Raw genomic sequence first — 21,250 nt, forward strand, 5'->3', positions numbered from 1 at the left:
CACTGTCTGTGCAAAGGTTGTGAGGGCCTCTAAGTGGGTCCTCTTGTTTCCCTGTCTTCTGAGGCCCAGGGCTTTCTCAGGGCCTCCGTGGGTCCCCCCCCTGCACCCATCACATAGAGCCTGGGTCCTGTCTGCCAGGCTCACACTCCCCACACCCATCTTGCTGTCCTATTTCCATCCCTACGACAGCCCCCTGGGCACTGCCAGTCCCTCTCTTAGAAGACTTTCACAGGCCCTGCCCTTCCGTTTTGTCAATCTAGTTAATGGCACCTTCTCCTAGAGAAGCCCTCCCTGAGCATCTCATCTGCAGTAGGGTCACCCCCATCTTCCACCCTCACTTTTCCTGGTGTTTCCTTCCTAGCCCGTCCCTATTGGGAGTTTTCTGCACTTACAGACCAGTCTCTCTCGCCCACCCGGGGGCCAGCGTGTCTGTCTTCTCTGTCCCAGCACACTGAATGATTATTTGTTGGTATAAATGAAACAGGAAGGCCCCTGAGGTGCTGGGACTGGCAGCCCTTCACCCCAGGTGAGGAAGGAGCCTTGAGGAAGGGGAGAGGACCAGAGTTAGTGGCCTTTCCCCACCCTGAGGGTCAGCCCCGGGCAGGGCGGGTCACTGAGTCTTGGGGGACCTGATGCCTGTGCCCTTGATGGTGGCCCGCAGGGGACGCAGCCGCACTGGGTCAGCTGTGGTCCTGGGGCAGTCGCGTCCAGGCAGGCGGCACTTAGGAAGGACAAACTCCAAAACCCAGGGATCCAAAGGATCCATGGGAAGATCGGGTGGCTCAGGGGAGTGACTCCCCGGCTTGGTCGGCGCTTTGAGGCCCCGGGGACCCAGCGGAGAGGGCTCGGGTGAGGCATCTGGAGGCGCTGAATGGGGCCGGGAGCCGCGGGACCCGCAGAGGGCGCCTGTCCGTGTGGGCGCAGCAGCGCCTAGAGGGAGGCGGCCCCGGCAGCCCGCAGGGGTCAGGCTCTGCTGGAGCAGGGGCGTCCCTGTCTCCGCTTCCCAGCGCAGGCTGGGTGGGGCCGATGGCCATTAAAGCCCCGCCCCCCGCGGCTCACCGCCGCCTGGCCCCGTCCCCGAGGCCAGAAAAGAGGAGACCCGAGGCCGTCAGACCGCCTGTCAAGGGCTGTCCTGGAGCCTGGCACCTTCCCCTCGCTCCCCGTCTGACCCCCAGAGGCCGTGCTGTCCAGGCTGACCCCGACTCTGAGCCATCGGGATGCCTGTCCACGCCTCCACTCCTGGGCCACTTCCCCGTGGGGCGAGCAGAAGGGCGGGCCGGGTGGGAATCTGTTGTACCCAGGGAAGGGAATTGCCAACAGGCCCAGAGAGTTTGAAGCCTGGGGTACTGTCACCAACAGGCCAGTAGCCTCGCAGCTGGGCCCTGCCCTAGAGTCTTCCTGCAGCAGGGCGCTTCTCCGGAGGAGCTGTGAATGTTTTCCCGGGTGGGGCTGAAGCCAGAGCCCAGAGGTTTGCCCCTGGGGCACGGATCCTCCAGGTCACTCGCCCCCCTACGGGCTGCAGTGAAGAAGGCTCTGAGGGGAGGATGGCCAGCGCCTCCCCTGCAAGGATAGGGGCCCCTGGGAACCCATTCCTGCTCTGGGGATTGCCTCCCTCCCCTACATCAGAGCCATCCACCGCAGAAGCTTGGCCAAGCTGACCACTCTGTCAGTGATCTCTGCCAGGGAGGCTGAAAGAACATCCAGCCCCACCCGTGGTCCCTTCCCGCCTCAGGCTATGTGACAGTATGACTCTCCACCTATTTCTTCGTTTCCACTGGAAACACTAGTAAAACAATTCCTCAGCCTCGACCCCAGGGAGCGGCCCCCACTAAACCAGCTGACGTGGGACCCCTGGGTCAATGCTGGCCAGGAGATGCGGCTGACATCAAAGACCCTGGGCCCCTGGGCCCCCTACAACCCTGGTCACGGTGGCCATGGGATTCCAGGCAGCACACATCTCAGAATCAGTATTTCCCCCACCCCACAAAAAATACATATATGGGTCGGGCGCGGTGGCTTGCGCCTGTAATCCCAGCACTTTGGGAGGCCGAGGCCGGCGGATCACGAGGTCAGGAGATCGACACCATCCTGGCTAACACGGTGAAACCCCGTCTCTACTAAAAATACAAAAAATTAGCTGGGCGTGGTGGCGGGTGCCTGTAGTCCCAGCTACTTGGGAGGCTGAGGCAGGAGAATGGCATGAACCCGGGAGGCGGAGCTTGCAGTGAGCCGAGATCACACTACTGCACTCCAGCCCAGGCGACAGAGTGAGACTGCGTCTCAAAAAAAAAAAAATTATATGCACAAATATGGGCATCGCTGGTAAGAAGAGTGGCAAAAACACAAGTGGTTCTCTTGTTTTGGGCTCAGACATGTGACTGTGGCATCACAGGCCCCCGGGATTTAGAATTCTTCTGAAAGGCATCCTGTGCACTCCCGAGCACCAGCTTGAACAGATGAAAAGGCTGAGCTGGAGGGGCTGGGACACAGTCCACCTTGACGACAGCTGCTCCTGGCTGTGCGGGGGGCCCCAGGAAAGGCCGTTCCCCCACTAGGACCGCCAGGCCCTACAGAGGCTCAAACTCCTTTGCTGTTTGGAATCTTCCCTCCCCAGCCCCCAAGCCTCATCAGAGGCTGCCTTTTCTGTTCACTGACCACAGCTGCTTTGACTCCATTAGCCTCGAGCTCCTGGAAGAAAAGAAAGAACCTTGTTTTCCCTGGGCTCAATGCCAAGAGACCATGGGCAGTTGCTCAAGATTCACTTGTGAAACTCCGGATCTCAGGAGGAGGGAAGCTTGGGACAAATACCGAGCCTCCCACCCCCACTCCAACTCTGTTACTGAGCACTTTACGGAAGGAGCAGGTAGGCCCCGCCACAGCTTCATCAAGGGTGGACTGGGATAGCTTCTGTGCTAATACAAACATCAGGCCTCCCTGCCAGACAGCCCACCCCATGGAGCCAGCCTGGCACCGGGCCAGCCTCCAGCCATAACTGCAAAAGAGCAGGAGAGCCCGGAATAGCAGGCCCTCTTCAGCGAGCTTCAGCCGCTTTGCCCATAGGCTGCAGGGTTTGGGTCCGCTGCCATAAATAGCTCCCAGACCATCTTTGGTAATATAGGCCTTTGCCTTAGTATTTACTACATCCAAATAGGCTTTATAGTAAGAGTAGTGAAACAATAGGTTTTGTTTTGTTTTTCGTTTTTTGTTTGTTTGTTTCTTTTTTGAGACGGAGTCTCACTCTGTCGTCCAGGCTAGAGTGCAATGGCACAATCTCGGCTCACTGCAACCTGCACCTCCCAGGTTCAAGCAATTCTCCTGCCTCAGCCCCCCGAGTAGCTGAGATTACAGGTGCCCACCACCATGCCCGGCCAATATTTTGTACTTTTAGTAGAGACGGGATTTGGCCATGTTGGCCAGGCTGCTCTCAAATGCCTGACCTTGTGATCCACCCGCCTTGGCCTCCCAAAGCGCTGGGATTACAGGCGTGAGCCACTGCGGCTGGCTGTGATAGAGTTTTTGAATCCTCTTTTTTTTTTTTCCCAGAGACAGGCTCTCACTCTGTTGCCCAGGCTGGAGTGCAGTGGCACAATCATAGCTCACTGCAGCCGCGACCTACTGGGCTCCAGTGAACCTCCTGCCTCAGGCTCCTGAGTAGCTGGGACTACAGCCACCATGCTCTGCTAATTTTTTTTTATTATCTAGTGTAGAGACAGGGTCTGGCTATGTTGCCCAGGCTGCTCTTGAACTCCTGGCCTCAAGCGATACTCCTGCCTCAGCCTCCCAAAGTGCCGGGATATCCGGCATGAGCCACTGCACCTGGCCAAGTTTTTAAATCTTTCAGTCACAGACTAAATAAAACAGTCACCTACAAGTTCTACAAGTTCAGCCTTTTTTTTTTTTTTTTGAGATGGAGTCTCGCTCTGTCACCCAGGCTGTAGTGCAGTGGCACGATCTTGGCTTACCACAACCTCTGCCTCCCAGGTTCAAGCGATTCTACTGCCTCAGCCTCCCAAACAGCTGGGAGTACAGGCGCCTGCCATGCTGGCCAGCTAATTTTTTTGTTTTTAATAGAAACCGGGTTTCACCATGTTGGTCAGGCTGGTCTTGAACTCCTGACCTCAGGTAATCTGCCTGGCTCGGCCTCCCAAAGTGCTGGGATTACGGCGTGAGCCACCATGCCCAGCCTAAGTTCAGCCTTTCATGCTTGTCTTGAGTTGTCCAATACTGGAAAATGCCAGCTCACACTGATGAGAAGCTCCTACTCTTTGGGGCTACCTATGAGCCCACTTTGAAATCCCGAGGTTGAAAGTCCTGAACATGAAAGATAAGCTGTCTGGCAAGTTAGGATGGGCATTGATGGAGAAATGCCTTACAGCTTGAGTAGTACTTTTTCACCTAACCACTTAAACGGTTATTATAAAATGGGACACTGAGAAATTAGAAGAGTGACTTAATCCCACCTGCTCAATTGAAGCTCCTCTGATAGGTGAATTTAATTAGGAAATTGTTACTTATGGTATCAATTACATGGTCAGCTCAAGCCTCAAATTCAGCTGACTTTAGTTTCAAAATCAACTGCAATTTTGTTTTTTAAGGAGCCTGGGGTCTTGCTATTGTGCTCCAGCCTGGCCTTGAACTCCTGGTCTCAAGGGATGCTTCCACCCCAGCTTGCTGAGTATCTGGGACTGCAGGCACGTGTCACTGTGCCCAGCTGTTTTTTTTTTTCTTCTTTGGTAGAAAAAGTGCCATTAGCTGTAATCCTACATTAAAGAGAATACTTTGACAATAGATTCGTCTCTTCCTTTAGCCCCCTCCAACCTTCCAGATAAAACCCCACCCCAAAGAACACAGGCAAAGAAGATACATCAGCCTCAATAATTTATTGCAAACTCCCTAATATCACATGCTAGTGCGCTTGCGAATTCACTCAGGAATGTTCCGGGATGGGGGCCAGAAGGTAGAGAGCACCATGAAAGTACAGCCTGCGAGGCCAGATTGCTAAGGGGCAGACTTCATGCCAATGGAGGGACAGACTTCAGGACCAGTCTGGATGGGCTAAGCTGCCTTGGGCAGGAAGGAGCTGGATCAGGCCAGGAGCTTGAGGTTCTCCTTTGGCCAACCCACCCCAGGTTTCCAGCTCCTCCTCCTCACTCAGGGTCCTGCGCGGTGAGGGAGGTGTGGGGAGGTTCGCGGCTCTACAGCTGCCAGGCTTGTGGGCACTACCAGTTAAGCGTGAGGCCCCCAGTCAGTCCTTCACTGGGGAAAGCTTCCAAGGACTTGGGCTTTCACTGCAGTATCTTCAGACAGGTCGGGATAAGGGATGAGGCCTTGCCCTTGGGGGGCTGCCCTTCCTCCGTAGCATCGAGGAGCTGCTGCAGGTAACAGGAGGTGCCAAGCAGTACGTGGCCTGTGGCCTGCATGCTGAAGAGGGCCCAGCGGAAAGCTTCCCTGGGTGGAATGAGAGGGCACGCAAGTCAAAACCACGAAGTAGGTCGGGCATGGCGTTCACGCCTGTAATCCTAGCACTTTGGGAGGCCATGGAGGGCGGGTAACCTGAGGTCAGGAGTTTGAGACTAGCATGGCCAACATGGCGAATCTCTGTCTCTACTAAAAATACAAAAACTAGGCAGGCATAGTGGTGGGTGACTGTAATCCCAGTTACTCCAGAGCCTGAGGCAGGAGAATCGCTTGAACCCAGGAGGCGGAGGTCACAGTGAGCCGAGGTGGCACCACTGCACTCCAGCCTGGGTGACAGAGCAAGATTCAGTCTCAAAAAACAATCAAACAAAAAACACAAGGCTGGGCTTGGTGGCTCATGCCTGTAATCCTATAACTTTAGGTGGCCGAGGTGGGTGGATCATTTGAGGTCAGGAGTTTGAGACCAGCCTGGCCAACATGGCGAAACCCCGTCTCTACTAAAAAATACAAAAAATTAGCCGGGCGTGGTGGCAGACACCTGTAATCTCAGCTACTCGGGAAGCTGAGGCACGAAAATCACTTGAACCTGGGAGACAGAGGTTGTAGTGAGCTGAGATTGTGCCACTGCACTCCAGCCTGGGTGACAGAGTGAGTCTCTGTCTCAAAAATAAATAAATACATAATAAATAAAAACAAGAGTGTACCCCCTCCCTGCACCCCCTTATTCCCATGCTGGCCTGGAAGGGATTGGTTTCATTATGTTTGTTTTCTTCATTAATAACATTTGAATACCACTGAGGTGGTAGCACTAAAAGCATTTCATCAATTCTAGAGCGATGTGCAAATAGGAACAGATGCTGCAGATGGGATCAAGATTAGTGCGAGGACCTGCAATTCCACCTTAACTGAGATGCCCGGAACCTCCCTACTTTCTCATGCAAAACCCCAGCTCATTTCATAAGGCTTTTATTTTTCTACTACTACTTTGGACCAACCAGATTAATCTCCATAACATGGTTCTGCACCTTGAGACACTCTGTTCTAGACTCTGAGGCCTGTCCAAGCCACCTGCAGTCTAGCTCATGTTCAGAGTGCTGGACATGAAGACATCCATGCCTGGCATGAGCATGTACTGAGAACAGAACCTGAATCAGGCAGGCCTAAGTCCTAATCCAGTCTTATTAGCTGGGTGAACTTCAGCAAACTGCTCTAGCTTTGAGCTTCAGCTTCCTCATGGGTAAAATGGGATTGCACCTGCCACCCAGGGTCATAAGGCTGAAATAGCATAAAGCAATTAACATGGGGTTGGATGTTTGGAAAGTAGGGGAAATGGGGAAGCGGGAGCGGGTTCTAACCTCACATATTCTCATGCTTCTTGAGACATTTGGTTAGACTTTCAAAAATAAGTTTTAAGAAAAGTTCATTATATAGTACAAATGACTCTGGTCCATAAGACTTGCAAATTAATTCTGTCATATGGAGGGAAGATTATTTCATCCCTCCCATTCCCACAGGGGAAAAAGCCCAATTTTGTATGTATACATTTATCTCTCTTTTTCTTCGTTTTAGAGACAAGGTCTCATGCTGTTGCCCAGGCTGGAGTACACAGTAGTATGGTCATATCTCACTGCAGCCTCAAACTCCTGGGCTCAAGCAATCCTCCCACCTAGCTGGGATTATAGGTACATACTACCACTGCCAGCATTTTGTGTGTGTGTGTGTGTGCGCACACACGGGCGTGTGATAAAGACAGGGTCTCACTGTGTTGCCGAGGCTGGTCTCAAACTCATGGGCTCAACAGATCCTCCTGCCTTGACCTCCCAAAGTGCTGGGATCCCAGGTGAGAGCTGCTGCACTCAACCTATCTCATCATTCTTCCTGGACCTGTATATATGTGGGATTTTGAAATCTCCTTTGAGCTGATTGTAACTTCTTGCTAGTTCTCTCATTAATTAATGAATTCAATTAAGTCTTTGACACGTGCTTTTTTTTGTTTTTTTTTCCGAGACAGTCTTGCTCTTTTGCCCAGGCTGGAGTGCAGTGGCAGAATCTTGGCTCACTGCAACCTCTGCCTCCTAGCTTCAAGCGATTCTCCTGCTTCAGCCTCCTGAGTAGTTGGGATTACAGGCATGCACCACGATGTCCAGCTAGTTTTCATATTTTTGTAGAGATTAGGTTTTGCCATGTTGGCCAGGCTGGTCTCAAACTCCTGACCTCAAGTGATCCACCCACCTTGGCCTCTCAAAGTGCTGGGATTACAGGCATGAGCCACCGTGCCTGGCCAACACATGTTCATTTTTATAAAATTGACTAGAAGACTACTTAGGAAAACTTCCTATTTCAATGAAAAAATGTAGTTACTAGAGTGGAAAGTAGTCATAAAAATAAAATGCATCCAGGTTCCACCAGGAGGAACACGTGCACCCCTGGGCACACGCCGGTGTCGTCCACAGCACTTCGAGAGCCCATCAGGCTCCGTGTTGTCTGATACAGGCTATGCTTTGTCAGCACCAAAGCCAGACCCAGGCGCTGAGAAGGCTGAGTCCATGTGGACAGATAGGGGCTCTCCCATTGCCTGTACCCACCCTGTCCCCAGGAAATCCCAATTTGCTCACTTCATGATGCGCTTGGCCCCACAGCAGTGCAGATCATAGGAAAGGGAGTATGTATCATAAAAAGTCGCCTTCACGTTCAGGCAGCCAATGAAGTCCTGTGGGTTCAGCTTGTACAGATCAAACGTTACACGGGCCACATCAATCTTCTTGGCAGGCTTATGGGAGAGGGACAGTGGGTGCCTTGTCCCCTGCATTGAGACAAGCAAATGGTTAGCACCCCTTGAAGACATCTCCCAGAGTCCCGATTTTCTCCCCCATCAGGTGCAACAGGTGGGACCTCACCTGTTCTGATGGGGGCTGCCATTTCTGCCCCTTCTGGAGGACCATGAACACTGTATCCCCTGCCAGGGCTTGGAAGTACTCTTCTGTCTCTACAGTTGTGCCATCTTCCTCCAGCACCAGGAAGAAGGGCTTGTCTGCCAGCATCAGAGTGTCCCGGACCTGGGGAATAAGGTCAGTGATGCTTCTGCCATCCCAGAACAAGTGGGCTGGACTCTATGAGGTGGAACTGGAGCCCAGGCCCTCTGCTGTGGAATCACTACCCAGAGACTTTATCATGGTACCTCTTGGCTCCTGGCTTCAGGGTTCCTAGTCTAGAATAATATTGTCCAATAAAATATAATGTAAGTCACATATAATTTTTAATTGTGATACAGTTTACATACTCTAAAAGTTACCCTCTAAAAGTGTACAATTCAGGGTTTTTTAGTATATTCGCAAAGTTGTGCAACAATCACCACTACCTAATAGTGCAGTGACTACTAGGCTGGAATGCAGTAATCATAAGCATATCATAAGCATAAGTAGAGAGCACATGACATAATTGTAGCTCATTGCAGCCTCCAACTCTTGGGCACAAGCAATCCTCCTGCCTCAGCCTCCCGAGTAGCTGGGACTACAGTTGCATGCCATTACTACCTGCCTAATGTTTATGTTTTTTTAAAGATGGTGTCTGGCTATGTTGCTCAGACTGGTCTCAAACTCCTTGCCTCAAGGGATCCTTCTACCTTGGCCTCCCAAAGTGCTGGAATTACAGGCATGTGCTATCACGTCCGGACATAATTCATTCTTTTTTTTTTTTGGCTAAATAATATTCTACTATATAGATATAACAGATTTTAAAATCTATTTATCAGTGGATGAACGCTTGGATTGTTTATTCTTGACTATTATGAATAATGCTGCTATGAGTTTTTGTGTACAAGTTTTTATATGAACATATGTTTTCAATTTTCCTGGGCATATATACCTAGGAGTAGAATTGCTGAGTCATACATTAACTCTATGTTTAATTTTTTTTTTTTTTTTTTTTTCTGGGGAGAAGGCCTTGCTCTTTAACCAGGTTGGAATGCAGTGGTATAATCACAGCTCACTGCAGCCTCAACCTCCTGGGCTCAAGTGATCCTTCTACTTTAGCCTCCCAAGTAGCTGAGATTACAGGTTTGTGCCATGTTGCCCAGCTAATTTTTTTTTTTTTTTTTTTTTGGTGGAGACAGGGTGCTGCTTTGTTTCCCAGGCTGGTCTCAAACTCCTGGGCTCAAGTAATCCTCCCTGCTCAGCCTCCCAAAATGCTGGGATTACAAGCATGAGCCACCACAATGGGCCTATGTTTAACTTTGAGGAGGTGCCAAACTGTTTTCCACAGTGGCTGCATCATTTTACATCCCCACTAGCAACGTATGAGAACTCCAGTCTCCTTACATCCTCACTGATGCTTTCATTGTCTGTATTTTAGCCAAAAATCCTTATTTTTTTTTCTTTTTTTGAGACTGAGTTTTGCTCTTGTTTCCCAGGCTGGAGTGCAGTGGCATGATCTCGACTCACCGCAATCCCCACCTCCTGGGTTCAAGCGATTCTCCTGCCTCAGCCTTCCTGAGTGGCTGGGATTACAGACATGTGCCACCACACCCAGCTAATTTTATACTTGTAGTAGATACAAGGTTTCTCTATGTTGGTCAGGCTGGTCTCAAACTCCCGACCTCAGTTGATCCGCCTGCCTCGGCCTCCCAAAGTGCAGGGATTATAGGCATGAGCCACTGCACCAGGCCCAAAAATCTTTTTTTCGTTTGTTTGTTTTGTTTTTGGTTTTGTTTTGTTTTTTGTTTTTTTAATAGAGATAGGATCTCACCATGTTGCCAAGGCTGTTCTCGAACTCCTGGATGCTCAGGCAGTCCTCCCGCCTCGGCCTCCTAAAGTGCTTGGATTACAGACGTGAGGCACAACACCCAGCCATATATCCACTTTTTGGTGGATGAAGTGATTTTAATTTGCATTCCCCTAATGATTAATGATGCTGAGCCTTTTTTTTTTGAAACAGGGTCTTGCTCTCTCACCCAGGCTGGAGTGCAGTGGTGCCATCATGACTCACTGCAGTGTCACCCTCCTAGGCTCAAGTGATCCTCCCACCTCAGTCTCCCAAGTAGCTGGGACTACAGGCATGTGCCACCGTTCCCAGCTAATTTTTGTATTTTTTTGTAGAAGTAAGGTTTTGCCATGTTACCCAGGCTGGTCTTGAACTCCTGGGCTCAAGCGATCCGCCTGCCTCCACCTCCCGAAGTGCTAAAATTAGAGGCATGAGCCAATACGCTTGGCCAAGCATCTTTTCATGGGTTTATTGGCCACTGTGTTATCTTCTTTGGAGAAATATCTACTCAAATCCTTTGCGCATTTTTAATTGGGTTGTCTTTTTCTTGCTTAGCTGTAAACACTATATATTCTTGATATTAGACCCTTATCAGCTATATGATTTGCAACTATTTTCTCCCATTTTGTGGGCTGTGTTTTTTACTTTCTTGCTAGTGTCCCTTGATATACAAAAGTTTTAGGCTGGGCGTAGTGGCTCATGCCTGTAATCCTAGCACTTTAGGAGGCAAAGTCAGGTGGATCACCTGAGGTCAAGAGTTCGAGACCAGCCTAGCCAACATGGTGAAACCCCGTCTCTACTAAAATTACAAAAAATTAGCTGGGCGTGGTGGTGCGCGCCTGTAGTCCCAGCTGCTCAGAAGGCTGAGGCATGAGAATTGCTTGAGCCCGCAAGGCAGAGGTTGCAGTGAGCCTAGATTGCACCACTGCACTCCAGCCTGGGTGACAGAGGAAGACTCTGTCTAAAAAAAAAGGTTTTATTGCTGATGAAGTCCAGTTTTTTTGGTTTTGTTTTTGCTTATTTTGTTTTGTTTTGGTTTTGTTTGTTTTGGTTTGTTTTGGTTTTGTTTTTTTGTTTGTTTGTTTTTCCCTTTGGTCGCTCTGCTTTGGTGCCGTATCTAGGAAGTCAAGGCCATGAAGACTTACATACTATGTTTTCTTCTAAGGGTTTTATAGTTTTAGTTCTTACATTTAGGTCTTTGGTCCATTTTTACTTACTTCTCTGAACTAGTTTCATCATCAAAAAAAGTTGAGGCAAGTACAGTTTATAAGTTGTTATAGTGATTAAATGCAAAAATGTCATGACGGCCGGGTGCAGTGGCTCACGCCTGTAATCCCAGCACTTTGGGAGGCCAAGGCCAAGGCAGGTGGATCACGAGGTCAGGAGATCGAGACCATCCTGGCTAACACGGTGAAACCCTGTCTCTACTAAAAATACAAAAATTAGCCAGGCGTGGTGGCAGGTACCTGTAGTCCCAGCTACTCCAGAGGCTGAGGCAGGAGAATGGCGTGAACCTGGGAGGTGGAGCTTGCAGTGAGCTGAGATCACGCCACTGCACTCCAGCCTGGGCGACAGAGTGAGACTCCGTCTCACCGTCTCAAAAAAAAAAAGTGTCATGACACTTAGGTTAACTGCCTGGGTTTCAATCCCAGTGAATGCACTTGGCCTCTGCCTCTGGAGAATGGAAATAGTGGTAACTACCTTAAGGCTCTCATCAGAAGAAATGCTGCAAATCACCTGGCAGATTACATGGTCCATAATAAGAATAGGCTCCTCAGGACATTTACAACCACATCATTAGTTATCTTGGAATGATGGCATTATCACGTCACTTTTCTTGCTTGGATTCACTAAGGAACATATCTTGCTACTTAAAACTCTTTCAGTAAGGGCCTGGGATCAGCAACACACCAATAGCAATGAACATATCTAGCTCCCTGGTCTCGGTTTCTGAATACCATTCTCCACTAAAATGAAACAGACCTTAGAAAAAAATGGCCAAGAATTAGGGCAGGGAAAATACAAGATGAGCCTGTAATACCTTGTTGCACCAGAAAGAAAGCATGCAAAGAATGCTGGGGACATGATAAAAAGATGTTGAAGTCTGGGACAACTTGAGCATCAATAAATAATCTGTTGCCATTCATGTATGCTATTAAAATAGAAATACCTGTGTCCCTTTTGAAACAAATAAATAAATAAATAAATAGGCCAGATGCAGTGGCTCATGCCTGTAATCCCAGCACTTTGGGAGGCCGAGGTGGGAGGATCACTTGAGGCCAGGAGTTTGAGACCAGGCTAGGAAACATAGCTAGACCCCCTCTCTATTTAAAAAAAAATTAAAAATTAGGTGTGAGATCGTGTACCTATAGTCCTAGCGAGTCGGGAGGCTGAGGTGGCAGGATCACTTGAACCTAGGAGTTTGAGGCTGCAGTGAGCCATCATCACATCACTGCATTCTAGCCGGGGCAATGGAGCGAGACCCTTTCTCTAAAATAATAATAATAATAATAATAATAATAATAATAATAAGTGAATACAGTGACAGATGCAGAATTCAATGTTTACTTAGTACAAAGTACTGACCTAGAAAATAAATAACAGAGGGGAAAATGTTACATAGAGAAGCTTGACTGTACCTACCACTTTATTCAAATAATCAAAACAGTAAGGTGACAAAAATTGCATATAATTTTGCAGTGACAATCTTTTTAAAATTTTTTTTAAACAGGGTCTCGCTCTGTCACACAGGCTGCAGTGCAGTGGTGCATTCACAGTTCACTGGAGCCTCAAATTCCTAGGCTCAAGTGATCATCCTGCCTCAGCCTCCTGAGTAACTGGGACTACAGGTGCACACCACCATGTCCAGCTAATTCCTGTATTATTTTTGTATAGACGGGGTCTCACCATGTTGCCCAGGCTGGTCTTGAACTCCTGGGCTCAAGGACTCCTCCTGCCTCGGCCTCCCAAAGTGTTAGGATTACAAGCATGAGCCACTATGCCTGGCCTGCAACTTATTTTTATCATATTCCTGCCAAAGATATAAACCTGAATTAAAGAAATGGATAGGGCCAGGTGTGGTGGCTCACACCTGTAATCCCAGCACTTTGGGAGGTCGAGGCAGGCAGATCACGAGGTCAGGAGATTGAGGCCATCCTGGCTAACACGGTGAAACCCCGTCTCTACCAAAAATACAAAAAAAATTAGCTGGGCGCGGTGGCGGGCGCCCGTAGTCCCAGCTACTCAGGAGGCTGAGGCAGGAGAATGGTGGGAAGCCGGGAGGCAGAGCTTGCAGTGAGCCGAGATAGCACCACTGCACTCCAGCGTGGGCGACAAAGCGAGACTCTGTCTCAAAAAAAAAAAAAAAAAGAAAAAAGAAATGCATAGTTCCAAACCAAGGGACAGTAAACAAAAATAGCTGGCTCATAATCTTCAAAATGGTCAAGGCCATGAAAGTCAAGGAAACACTGAAAAACTGTTCCATACTGAAGGAAACTAAAGAGACATACAATTAAATAAACACTTGATCCTGACCTGGATCCTTTCACTATAAAGGATATTATTGGGACAGCTGGCAATGCTTGAGTTTCAGGATTCAATTACAGTAATGTAATACTGTTTCCTGATTGTAATAGTTGTATGATGGCTATCCTTGTTTGTAGAAAGGAGAATATCCTTGTTTGTAGAAAATGCACATTGAAGTATCCAAGAGTAATAGGCAGCAAGTTGGCAACTTACTCTCAAATGATTCAGGCAAAGTTTTGTATTGTATTTGTACTGTGTAACTTTTGTTAGTTTGCAATTGCTTCCTCCAGGGGAAGCCACATATAACAAGGACACTTTGATGCAGGGGGTGCCCAGACCTCAGGGCAAAAAAACAGCACCAAGTCCAGGTTAGAGTATGAACAGGTCCTTTTGATTGAAAGCACAAGAAATGTAGTCTGCGCAGCCAGAAGCCTTACAAAGGAGGGGAAATTGGCTCTCCGGAAGAACAGAACTAATACACAGAAATAGGGGAGGAAACTTAGAATAAAGAGGTTAGCTATGATTGATTTCTGTATGTTAAATAGAGCCTAATAATTGGAAGCCTAATCCAAACATTTGACCTGTACCAGGCACCTGGGATTGCAGATGAGAGGGTCCCACCCCTATAGAGATGATCAGTGAGGACAGGCATGGTGGCTGACGCCTATAATCCCAGCACTTTGGGAGGCAGAGGTGGGTGGATTACCTGAGGTCGGGAGTTTGAGACCAGCCTGGCCAACATGACAAAACCCCATCTTTACTAAAAATACAAAAATTAACTGGGCGTGGTGGTGCATGCCTGTAGTCCCAGCTTCTTGGGAGGCTGAGGCATGAGAATCACTTGAACCTGGGAGGCGGAGACTTCAGTGAGCTGAGATCATGCCACTGCACTACAACTTGGGTGACACAGCAAGACTCCATCTTGGGCTGGGTGTGGTAGCTCACACCTGTAATCCCAACACTTTGGGAGGCCAAGGTGGGTGGATTGCCTGAGCTCAGGAGTTCGAGACCAGCCTGGGCAACACAGTGAAACCCTGTCTCTACTAAAGTACAAAAAATTAGCTGGGTGTGGTGGTGTGTGCCTGTAGTCCCAGCTACTCAGGAGGCTGAGGCAGGAGAATCGCTTGATTCTGGGAGGCAGAGGTTGCAGTGAGCCAAGATCGCGCCATTGCACTCCAGCCTGGATGACAAGAGTGAGACTTCGTCTCAAAAAAAAAAAAAAAAAAAAAAAAAAACTAATGGAAGTGGGAAGCATGAGATTTTCCAGCAAGAAAAATGTGCCCTGAAAATACCACTGACCTACTGATAGTGTAGGATGGTAACGTACTGCCCCCCTCCTGTTACCAAACAGACATCAGTCATTGCTAATTAGTTGGACAGCTCTCCAGGTGGGCATTACCATCTGTAGGCGCTGGTAGGTATCAGAAAGGAAACTGTGCCACCTTCTAAGCCCTGACCTCCATCTCTGCTGAATCCCAGCTCACAGCTGGGCTGTGCAACGCGCAGGTGCTCTCACCTTGAGGAGGAGGTCCTCAAGACTGTAAGCCATGATGCCCTTCCTCACGCTTCGATCCGCCGTGCTTACGCGGCAGGGCCGGGCCCTGGGGGCCTTGGGGCTGGGCTCCGACAGCAGCTGCTGGGTCACCACAGAGGTACGCACTGACACATGCCTGGGGCAGTTGAAGCATCAGGGTGAGCCACCCACTTTGCCCAACCCTTGCCCACCACACAGGGGAGCCACCTCCCCACCCCTCCTGACTGGGCTCATGATCAGTCAACCCCCCATCACCTGCTAATCCTGCCCTAGTCTTACTCAGAAGCCTGCTAGAAGCCAGGCACGGTGGCTCATGTCTGTAATCCCACACTTTGGAAGGCTGAGGTGGGCAGATCACTTGAAGTCAGGAGTTCAAGACCACCCTGGCTAACATGGTGAAACACCATCTCTACTAAAAATACAAAGATTAGCCAGTGTGGTGGCACATGCCTGTAATCCCAGCTCCATAGGCCGGGACACAAGAATTGCTTGAACCCTGGGAGGCGGCAGAGGTTGCAGTGAGCTGTGATGGTGCCACTGCACTCCAGCCTGGGCAACAGAGGGAGACCTCGACTTAAAAAAAAATAATAAAATAAAAATTAAAAAAAGCCTGCTAGAGCAGTGCATCTCAAACTTCGAAGGACACATAAGTCACCAGGGCTTCTGTTCAAATGCAGATTCTGACTGAGTAGACCTGGGTGAGGCCTGAGATTCCAAATGTTTCACAAGTTCCCAAGTGATGTTGATAACGCTGGTTCTCAGACCATGAGGAGTAAGTAGCAAAGTAATAAAAGACCCACCCCACATTCCCCATTTACCACCTGTCTTGGCCTCACTCTCCTCACCTGTAAAGTTGGATGAAGTGGGGGAAGCCTGAAGTCAATGTAAGGTATTTTTTTAACTGAAGCACTCAATTTAGAACCAAAGGAAAGGAAAGGACCTGGATTTTACAGTCAGGCAGTCCCAATTTAGAATCTTGGCTCCCTCATGGATTTGCTGGGTGATTGAGAGCACCCACTATGTGCCTCAGTTCTCTCACCTATTAATTTGGTATAATAACCCCCACTTCCCAAAGTTGTTGTGAGGCTTACATGAGATCAGGAGTAAAAGCACCAAGCATAGTGTCTACTCCTTTTTATGCATGGTGTGGTGGTGGTGTAAGCAGCAGCATTAATATCACCCAGGGACTTCTTGGCAGTGCAAAATCTCGGGTCCCACTCCAGACCTCCTGAATCAGAATCTGCACTTGAACAAGGTCCCCTGTGACCTGTATACCCATTAAAGTTTGAGAAGTTCTGGCTTACAGCTCATAGGTGGCTCTCTTTCCATTCTGCCCATGACTTTCCTCACCTGGAGAGGGACTTGGGGTAGAGAAGGCTAAGGGACTTCATGGCGTATTCCATCCTTGTCAGCTGGACTGCGTTGGACCTGGGAAGGAGGCAGAAACAATTCATCAGGGTGAGATGAGAGGGTTCCCATCTCTCTCATTGTTAGGCAAGGTGCAACCCAACCCCTGTTCAGCAACCTTCCTCCCTATTCTTCTATCCCAACTCACACATACCTCCCCCAGCCCTTCTCCTGTCCGGCCCCATGCATGCCAACCAAGACCAAGCTGGAGACCCCACCCCTCTCCCCACCGGGTGCTCAGGCTCAGCCTCACTCAGCAGCTGCTGCTCCTGCCCCAGTCCCACTCACTCCATGTTTCTCATCCCCTGGCTCTGGTCACACTGAGCAGATAACCCAACTCAGGGCTGAAGAAGCCTTGCCCGATTTGTTCCTGTCCATGGGGACAGAGTCCACTTTACGCTGGCAGGAGGTGAGTCACACCACCTCACACTTCTGGGGACCGTTCCCTCACCTCTAGTCCAGAGACCTCACAGGCAGGCAGCCCAGTCAAAGCCTCCTCTCTCCCATGGGTCCTTGAGCAATCCGAGCCCCTTCCTGAGGCTTCACAGTGGCCAAAAGAACATTCTGTGATGATAGAGGCATGCCTTGTACATACTCTCCAATACCATTGCTACTAGCCCCATGTGGCTATTGAGTATTTGAAACATAACTAGTGTGATTCAGGAGCTGAATTTTTTTTTTTTTTGAGTTTCGCTCTTGTCACCCAGGCTGGAGTGCAATGGGGCGATCTTGCTCACTACAACCTCCGCCTCCTGGGTTCAAGCAATTATCCTGCCTCAGCCTCCCCCGTAGCTGGGATTACAGGCACCTGCCACCACGCCCAGCTAATTTTTAGTTTAGTTTCGTTTTGTTTGGATTTTTAGTAGAGACTGGGTTTCACCATGTTGGCTAGGCTGGTCTTGAACTCCTGACCTCAGGTGATCTCCCTGTCTTGGCCTCCCAAAGTGCGGGGATTACAGGCGTGAGCCACTGCACCTGGCACAGGAGCTGTATTTTTTACTTTATTGAATTTTAACTAATTTAAATTTAAATAGCCACATTGCCATGTGGCTGTTGGCACCCATATTAGATCACAGGTCTAAGCAGATAGCCCTGGGCTCATCTGTCACCACTTTTTCTCCTAAACCTCTGTGCTCCAACTCTTGAAGGGCCCAACCCTTTGCACAGATAGTTCCCTCCACCTGTAGTGCCCTTCTCTGATCCAGGACGAAATTTTTGCAGCCTTGAAGCCTCAGTTTCATTGCTTTCCACTCTTTAAAAGGAAAGTCTTCTTAGACCACTCCCAAAATTATTACACCTTCATCCTGCTCTTCCTAGCCAAGGGTGCCTCTGGGTCTGTTTCTGCTGTAGCCCCTCAGTCCCTGGATGCCTGGCCCTGAGGTCCTCTTCCTATTCGAAGCTCCCGGCACAGGTAGGGCTTCGCAGAGCAAGGGGCACAAGGGGTGGACATAAAACAAAAGTCCCCTTGCCAGCTGGGGACAATCACTCTTTGCTTTTAACAATTTGGGGGACTTTCCAGACCAGGCCCCACAGAGGCAGAAAGCCCCTTTCCCACTTAGCACTGCAGAAGCTCTAGTCCTAGCTACGTGGGAGGCTGAGGCAGGAGGATTCTGCTTGCCTCAGCCTCACCCACTTCGTATCCCTAGCAAAACTCTGCCAAGAGCTACCTAACCTGCTCTCCAGGAGCAAAGAAAAAAAAATCCCCAAACCCAAAACAATAACAAACTCCTTACCTCCCCCTCACAGCCTCCTGGAAATACTGCCCTGTCCCGCCCAGCCCTCCCTTCATTTATTTCCAGCCCCCATGAAGCTCCTCCCCAGCCTTCAGCCCCAGCTGGGGAAAAGAGCTTGGGGTGAGAGCTGCAAGCCAGCCTGACTTCCAGAAAAGGCCTAAAAGGAGGGGAGAAGGCATGTTTCGAAAGCTTTGGCAAAATGGATGGCCCATGACATGAGATCAAGCACAGAGGGCACAGAAAGCAGGCAGATGTGGGTTGTGGTCCCAACTCCACCCCATATCAGCTTGCTTGAGCTTAGACAGATCACTTGACTTCTGTGAGCCCGTTTCTCTTCTCTGTGTAATGACGATAATGATTCTTGTTTTATAGGGTAGTGGTGAGGATTAGTGACAATAAAAGTAAAGGGGCACAGTGGCTCATGCCTATAATCCCAGTGTTTTGGGAGGCTGAGGCGGGAGGATTGCTTGAGGACAGGGGTTGGAGGACAGCCTGGGCAATAGAGTGAGACCCTGTCTCTGAAAAAAAAAAAAAAAAAGAAAAGAAAAGAAAAAAGAAAAAAGTAGCCTGGGTGCCGTGGCTCACGCCTGTAATCCCAGCACTTTGGGAGGCCGAGGCAGGTGGATCACTTGAGGTCAGGAGTTTGAGACCAGCATGGCCAACATGGTGAAGCCCCGTCTCTACTAAAAATAGAAAAATGAGCCAGGCGTGGTGGTGTGTGCCTGTAATCCCAGCTATCTGGGAGGCTGAGGCAGGAGAATCGCTTGAGCCTGGGAGGCAGAGGTTGCGGTGAGCTTAGATCACACCACTGCACTCCATTCTGGGTGACAGAGTGAGACCCTGTCTCAAAAAAAAAAAAAAAAAAAAAAAAGTCCGGGCACGGTGGCTCACACCTCTAATCCCAGAACTTTGGGAGGCCGAGGTGGGCAGATCACAAGGTCAAGAGTTCGAGACCAGCTTGGTCAATATGGCGAAAACCCCATCTCTACTAAATATACAAAAATTAGCCGTGCGTGGTGGTGGGTGCCTGAAATCCCAGCTACTCAGGAGGCTGAGGCAGGAGAATCATTTGAACCCGGGAGGCAGAGGTTGCAGTGAGCCGAGATCACGCCACTGCACTCCAGCCTGGGTGACAGAGTGAGACTCTGTCTCAAAAAAATAAAAATAAATAAAAATAAAGGCTTTGCAAACATAAACACTCAATGGATCGAAGTGATTATTAGTATTACTGATAATTTTTTATTTTTATTTTATTATTTTTAATTTTTTTGTCTTTTTCTCAATTTGATAATGTACATATTAAATCATAGCAGAGAGTAAGACAAGCTGAAATGTGGAGTGGTTAAGAGTGTAAGATCTCTGACCCAGCAGTTCCACTTCTGTGTGTGTGCGTGTGGTGTATGTGTGTCATACAGAGCACACCTGTTGTCCCAGCTGCTCAGAAGGAGGCTGATGCAGGAGGATCACTTGAGCCCAGGAATTAAAATTTAGCCTGAGTAACATAGGGAGACCCTGTCTTTACAAAAGAAAAGAAACAAAACCAAAACCAAACAAAATTACATATATATGTGTATATATATACACACACACATATATATATACACATACATATCCAAAAGAAATGAAAAATATGTCTACACAAAAACTTGTATGTGAATATCCATAGGATTATTCGTAATAGCCAAAAGGTAGAAACACATGAATGTTCAATTTATAAATCGATTTTTTAAATGTGCCTATCCATACATGGCATATTATTTATCAAAAAGGATCCATACTACCACATGGAGGAACCTTGCAAACAGTACAGAAAGTAGACAAAGCCAGTCACAGGAATCATATACATATTGTATGATTCCACTTATATGAAATGTCTAGAATAGGCAAATCTATATAAAGACAAAGTAGGGCCGGGCGCGGTGGCTCACGCCTGTAATCTCAGCACTTTGGGAGGCTGAGGTGGGCGGATCACGAGGTCAGAAGATCGAGACCATCCTGGCTAACACGGTGAAACCCGGTCTCTACTAAAAATACAAAAAATTAGCCGGGCGTGGTGGCGGGCGCCTGTAGTCCCAGCTACTCGGGAGGCTGAGGCAGGAGAATGGCGTGAACCCGGGAGGCGGAGCTTGCAGTGAGCCGAGATCGCACCACTACACTCCAGCCTTGGGCGACAGAGCGAGACTCCGCCTCCAAAAAAAAAAAAAAAAAAAAAAAGACAAAATGGGTTAGTGGTTGCTTCGGGCTGGGAGTAGGGGATGGGAGGGGAATGGGGAGTGGCTGCTAATTAGTACAGGGTTTCTTTCAGGGTTTTCTTTTCTTTTTTTTTTTTTTCTTTTCTTTTTGAAACGGAGTCTCGCTCTGTCGCCCAGGCTGGAGTGCAGTGGCACCATCTCCGCTCACTGCAAGCTCCGCCCCCCAGGTTCCCGCCATTCTCCTGCCTCAGCCTCTAGAGCAGCTGGGACTACAGGCGCCCGCCACCACGCCCGGCTAATTTTTTGTATTTTTAGTAGAGACGGGGTTTCACCGTGTTAGCCAGGATGGTCTCGATCTCCTGACCTCATGACCCACCCGGCTGGGCATCCCAAAGTTCTAGGATTACAGGCAGGAGCCACCGCACCCAGCCTTTTCTTTTTCTTTTCTTTCTTTTTTTTTTTTTTGAGACAGAGCATTGCTCTGTCACTCAGGCTGGAGTGCAGTGGCACGATCTCGCCTCACTGCAAGCTCCGCCTCCCGGGTTCACGCCATTTTCCTGCCTCAGCCTCCCCAGTAGCTGGGACTACAGGTGCCTGCCACCACGCCTGGCTAATTTTTTTGTATTTTTAGTAGAGACGGGGTTTCACCGTGTTAGCCAGGATGGTCTTGATCTCCTGACCTC

The 21,250-nt window shown here is 49.1% G+C and overlaps 1 protein-coding gene across 10 annotated transcripts, besides 2 other annotated features; it reads right to left on the reverse strand.

Moving 5' to 3' along the window:
• Positions 837-1,131: a silencer, noted in NCBI's record as "tiled region #13942; HepG2 Repressive DNase unmatched - State 4:PromP". NCBI's record gives its function as "represses a minimal TATA promoter and a strong SV40 promoter by Sharpr-MPRA in HepG2 cells {active_cell/tissue: HepG2}" and the evidence as "EXISTENCE:reporter gene assay evidence [ECO:0000049][PMID:27701403]".
• Positions 2,237-2,531: a silencer, noted in NCBI's record as "tiled region #9891; K562 Repressive non-DNase unmatched - State 7:EnhWF". NCBI's record gives its function as "represses a minimal TATA promoter and a strong SV40 promoter by Sharpr-MPRA in K562 cells {active_cell/tissue: K562}" and the evidence as "EXISTENCE:reporter gene assay evidence [ECO:0000049][PMID:27701403]".
• CIDEC (cell death inducing DFFA like effector c) lies at positions 4,862-18,405 on the reverse strand. 10 transcript variants are annotated; one of them, NM_001199551.2, is made up of 7 exons: positions 18,376-18,405; positions 16,586-16,663; positions 15,218-15,371; positions 8,597-8,626; positions 8,316-8,474; positions 8,034-8,221; positions 4,866-5,448 (listed from the first exon to the last, which is right to left on the reverse strand). In NM_001199551.2, exons 2-7 carry the CDS (start codon positions 16,636-16,638, stop codon positions 5,286-5,288), a joined length of 747 nt encoding a protein of 248 aa, NP_001186480.1. In that variant the 5' UTR covers positions 16,639-16,663; positions 18,376-18,405; the 3' UTR covers positions 4,866-5,285. The 10 variants fall into 10 exon arrangements, with proteins under 10 accessions (NP_071377.2, XP_047304641.1, XP_047304642.1 ...); NM_001321142.2 differs by lacking the exon at positions 8,597-8,626 and adding an exon at positions 17,094-17,206; NM_022094.3 differs by lacking the exons at positions 8,597-8,626; positions 18,376-18,405 and adding an exon at positions 17,094-17,208 and having other exon boundaries at positions 4,862-5,448.

The sequence above is a fragment of the Homo sapiens genome, chromosome 3 (assembly GCF_000001405.40).
Source record: "Homo sapiens chromosome 3, GRCh38.p14 Primary Assembly".
In the NCBI taxonomy this organism is placed as follows: domain Eukaryota; kingdom Metazoa; phylum Chordata; class Mammalia; order Primates; family Hominidae; genus Homo; species Homo sapiens.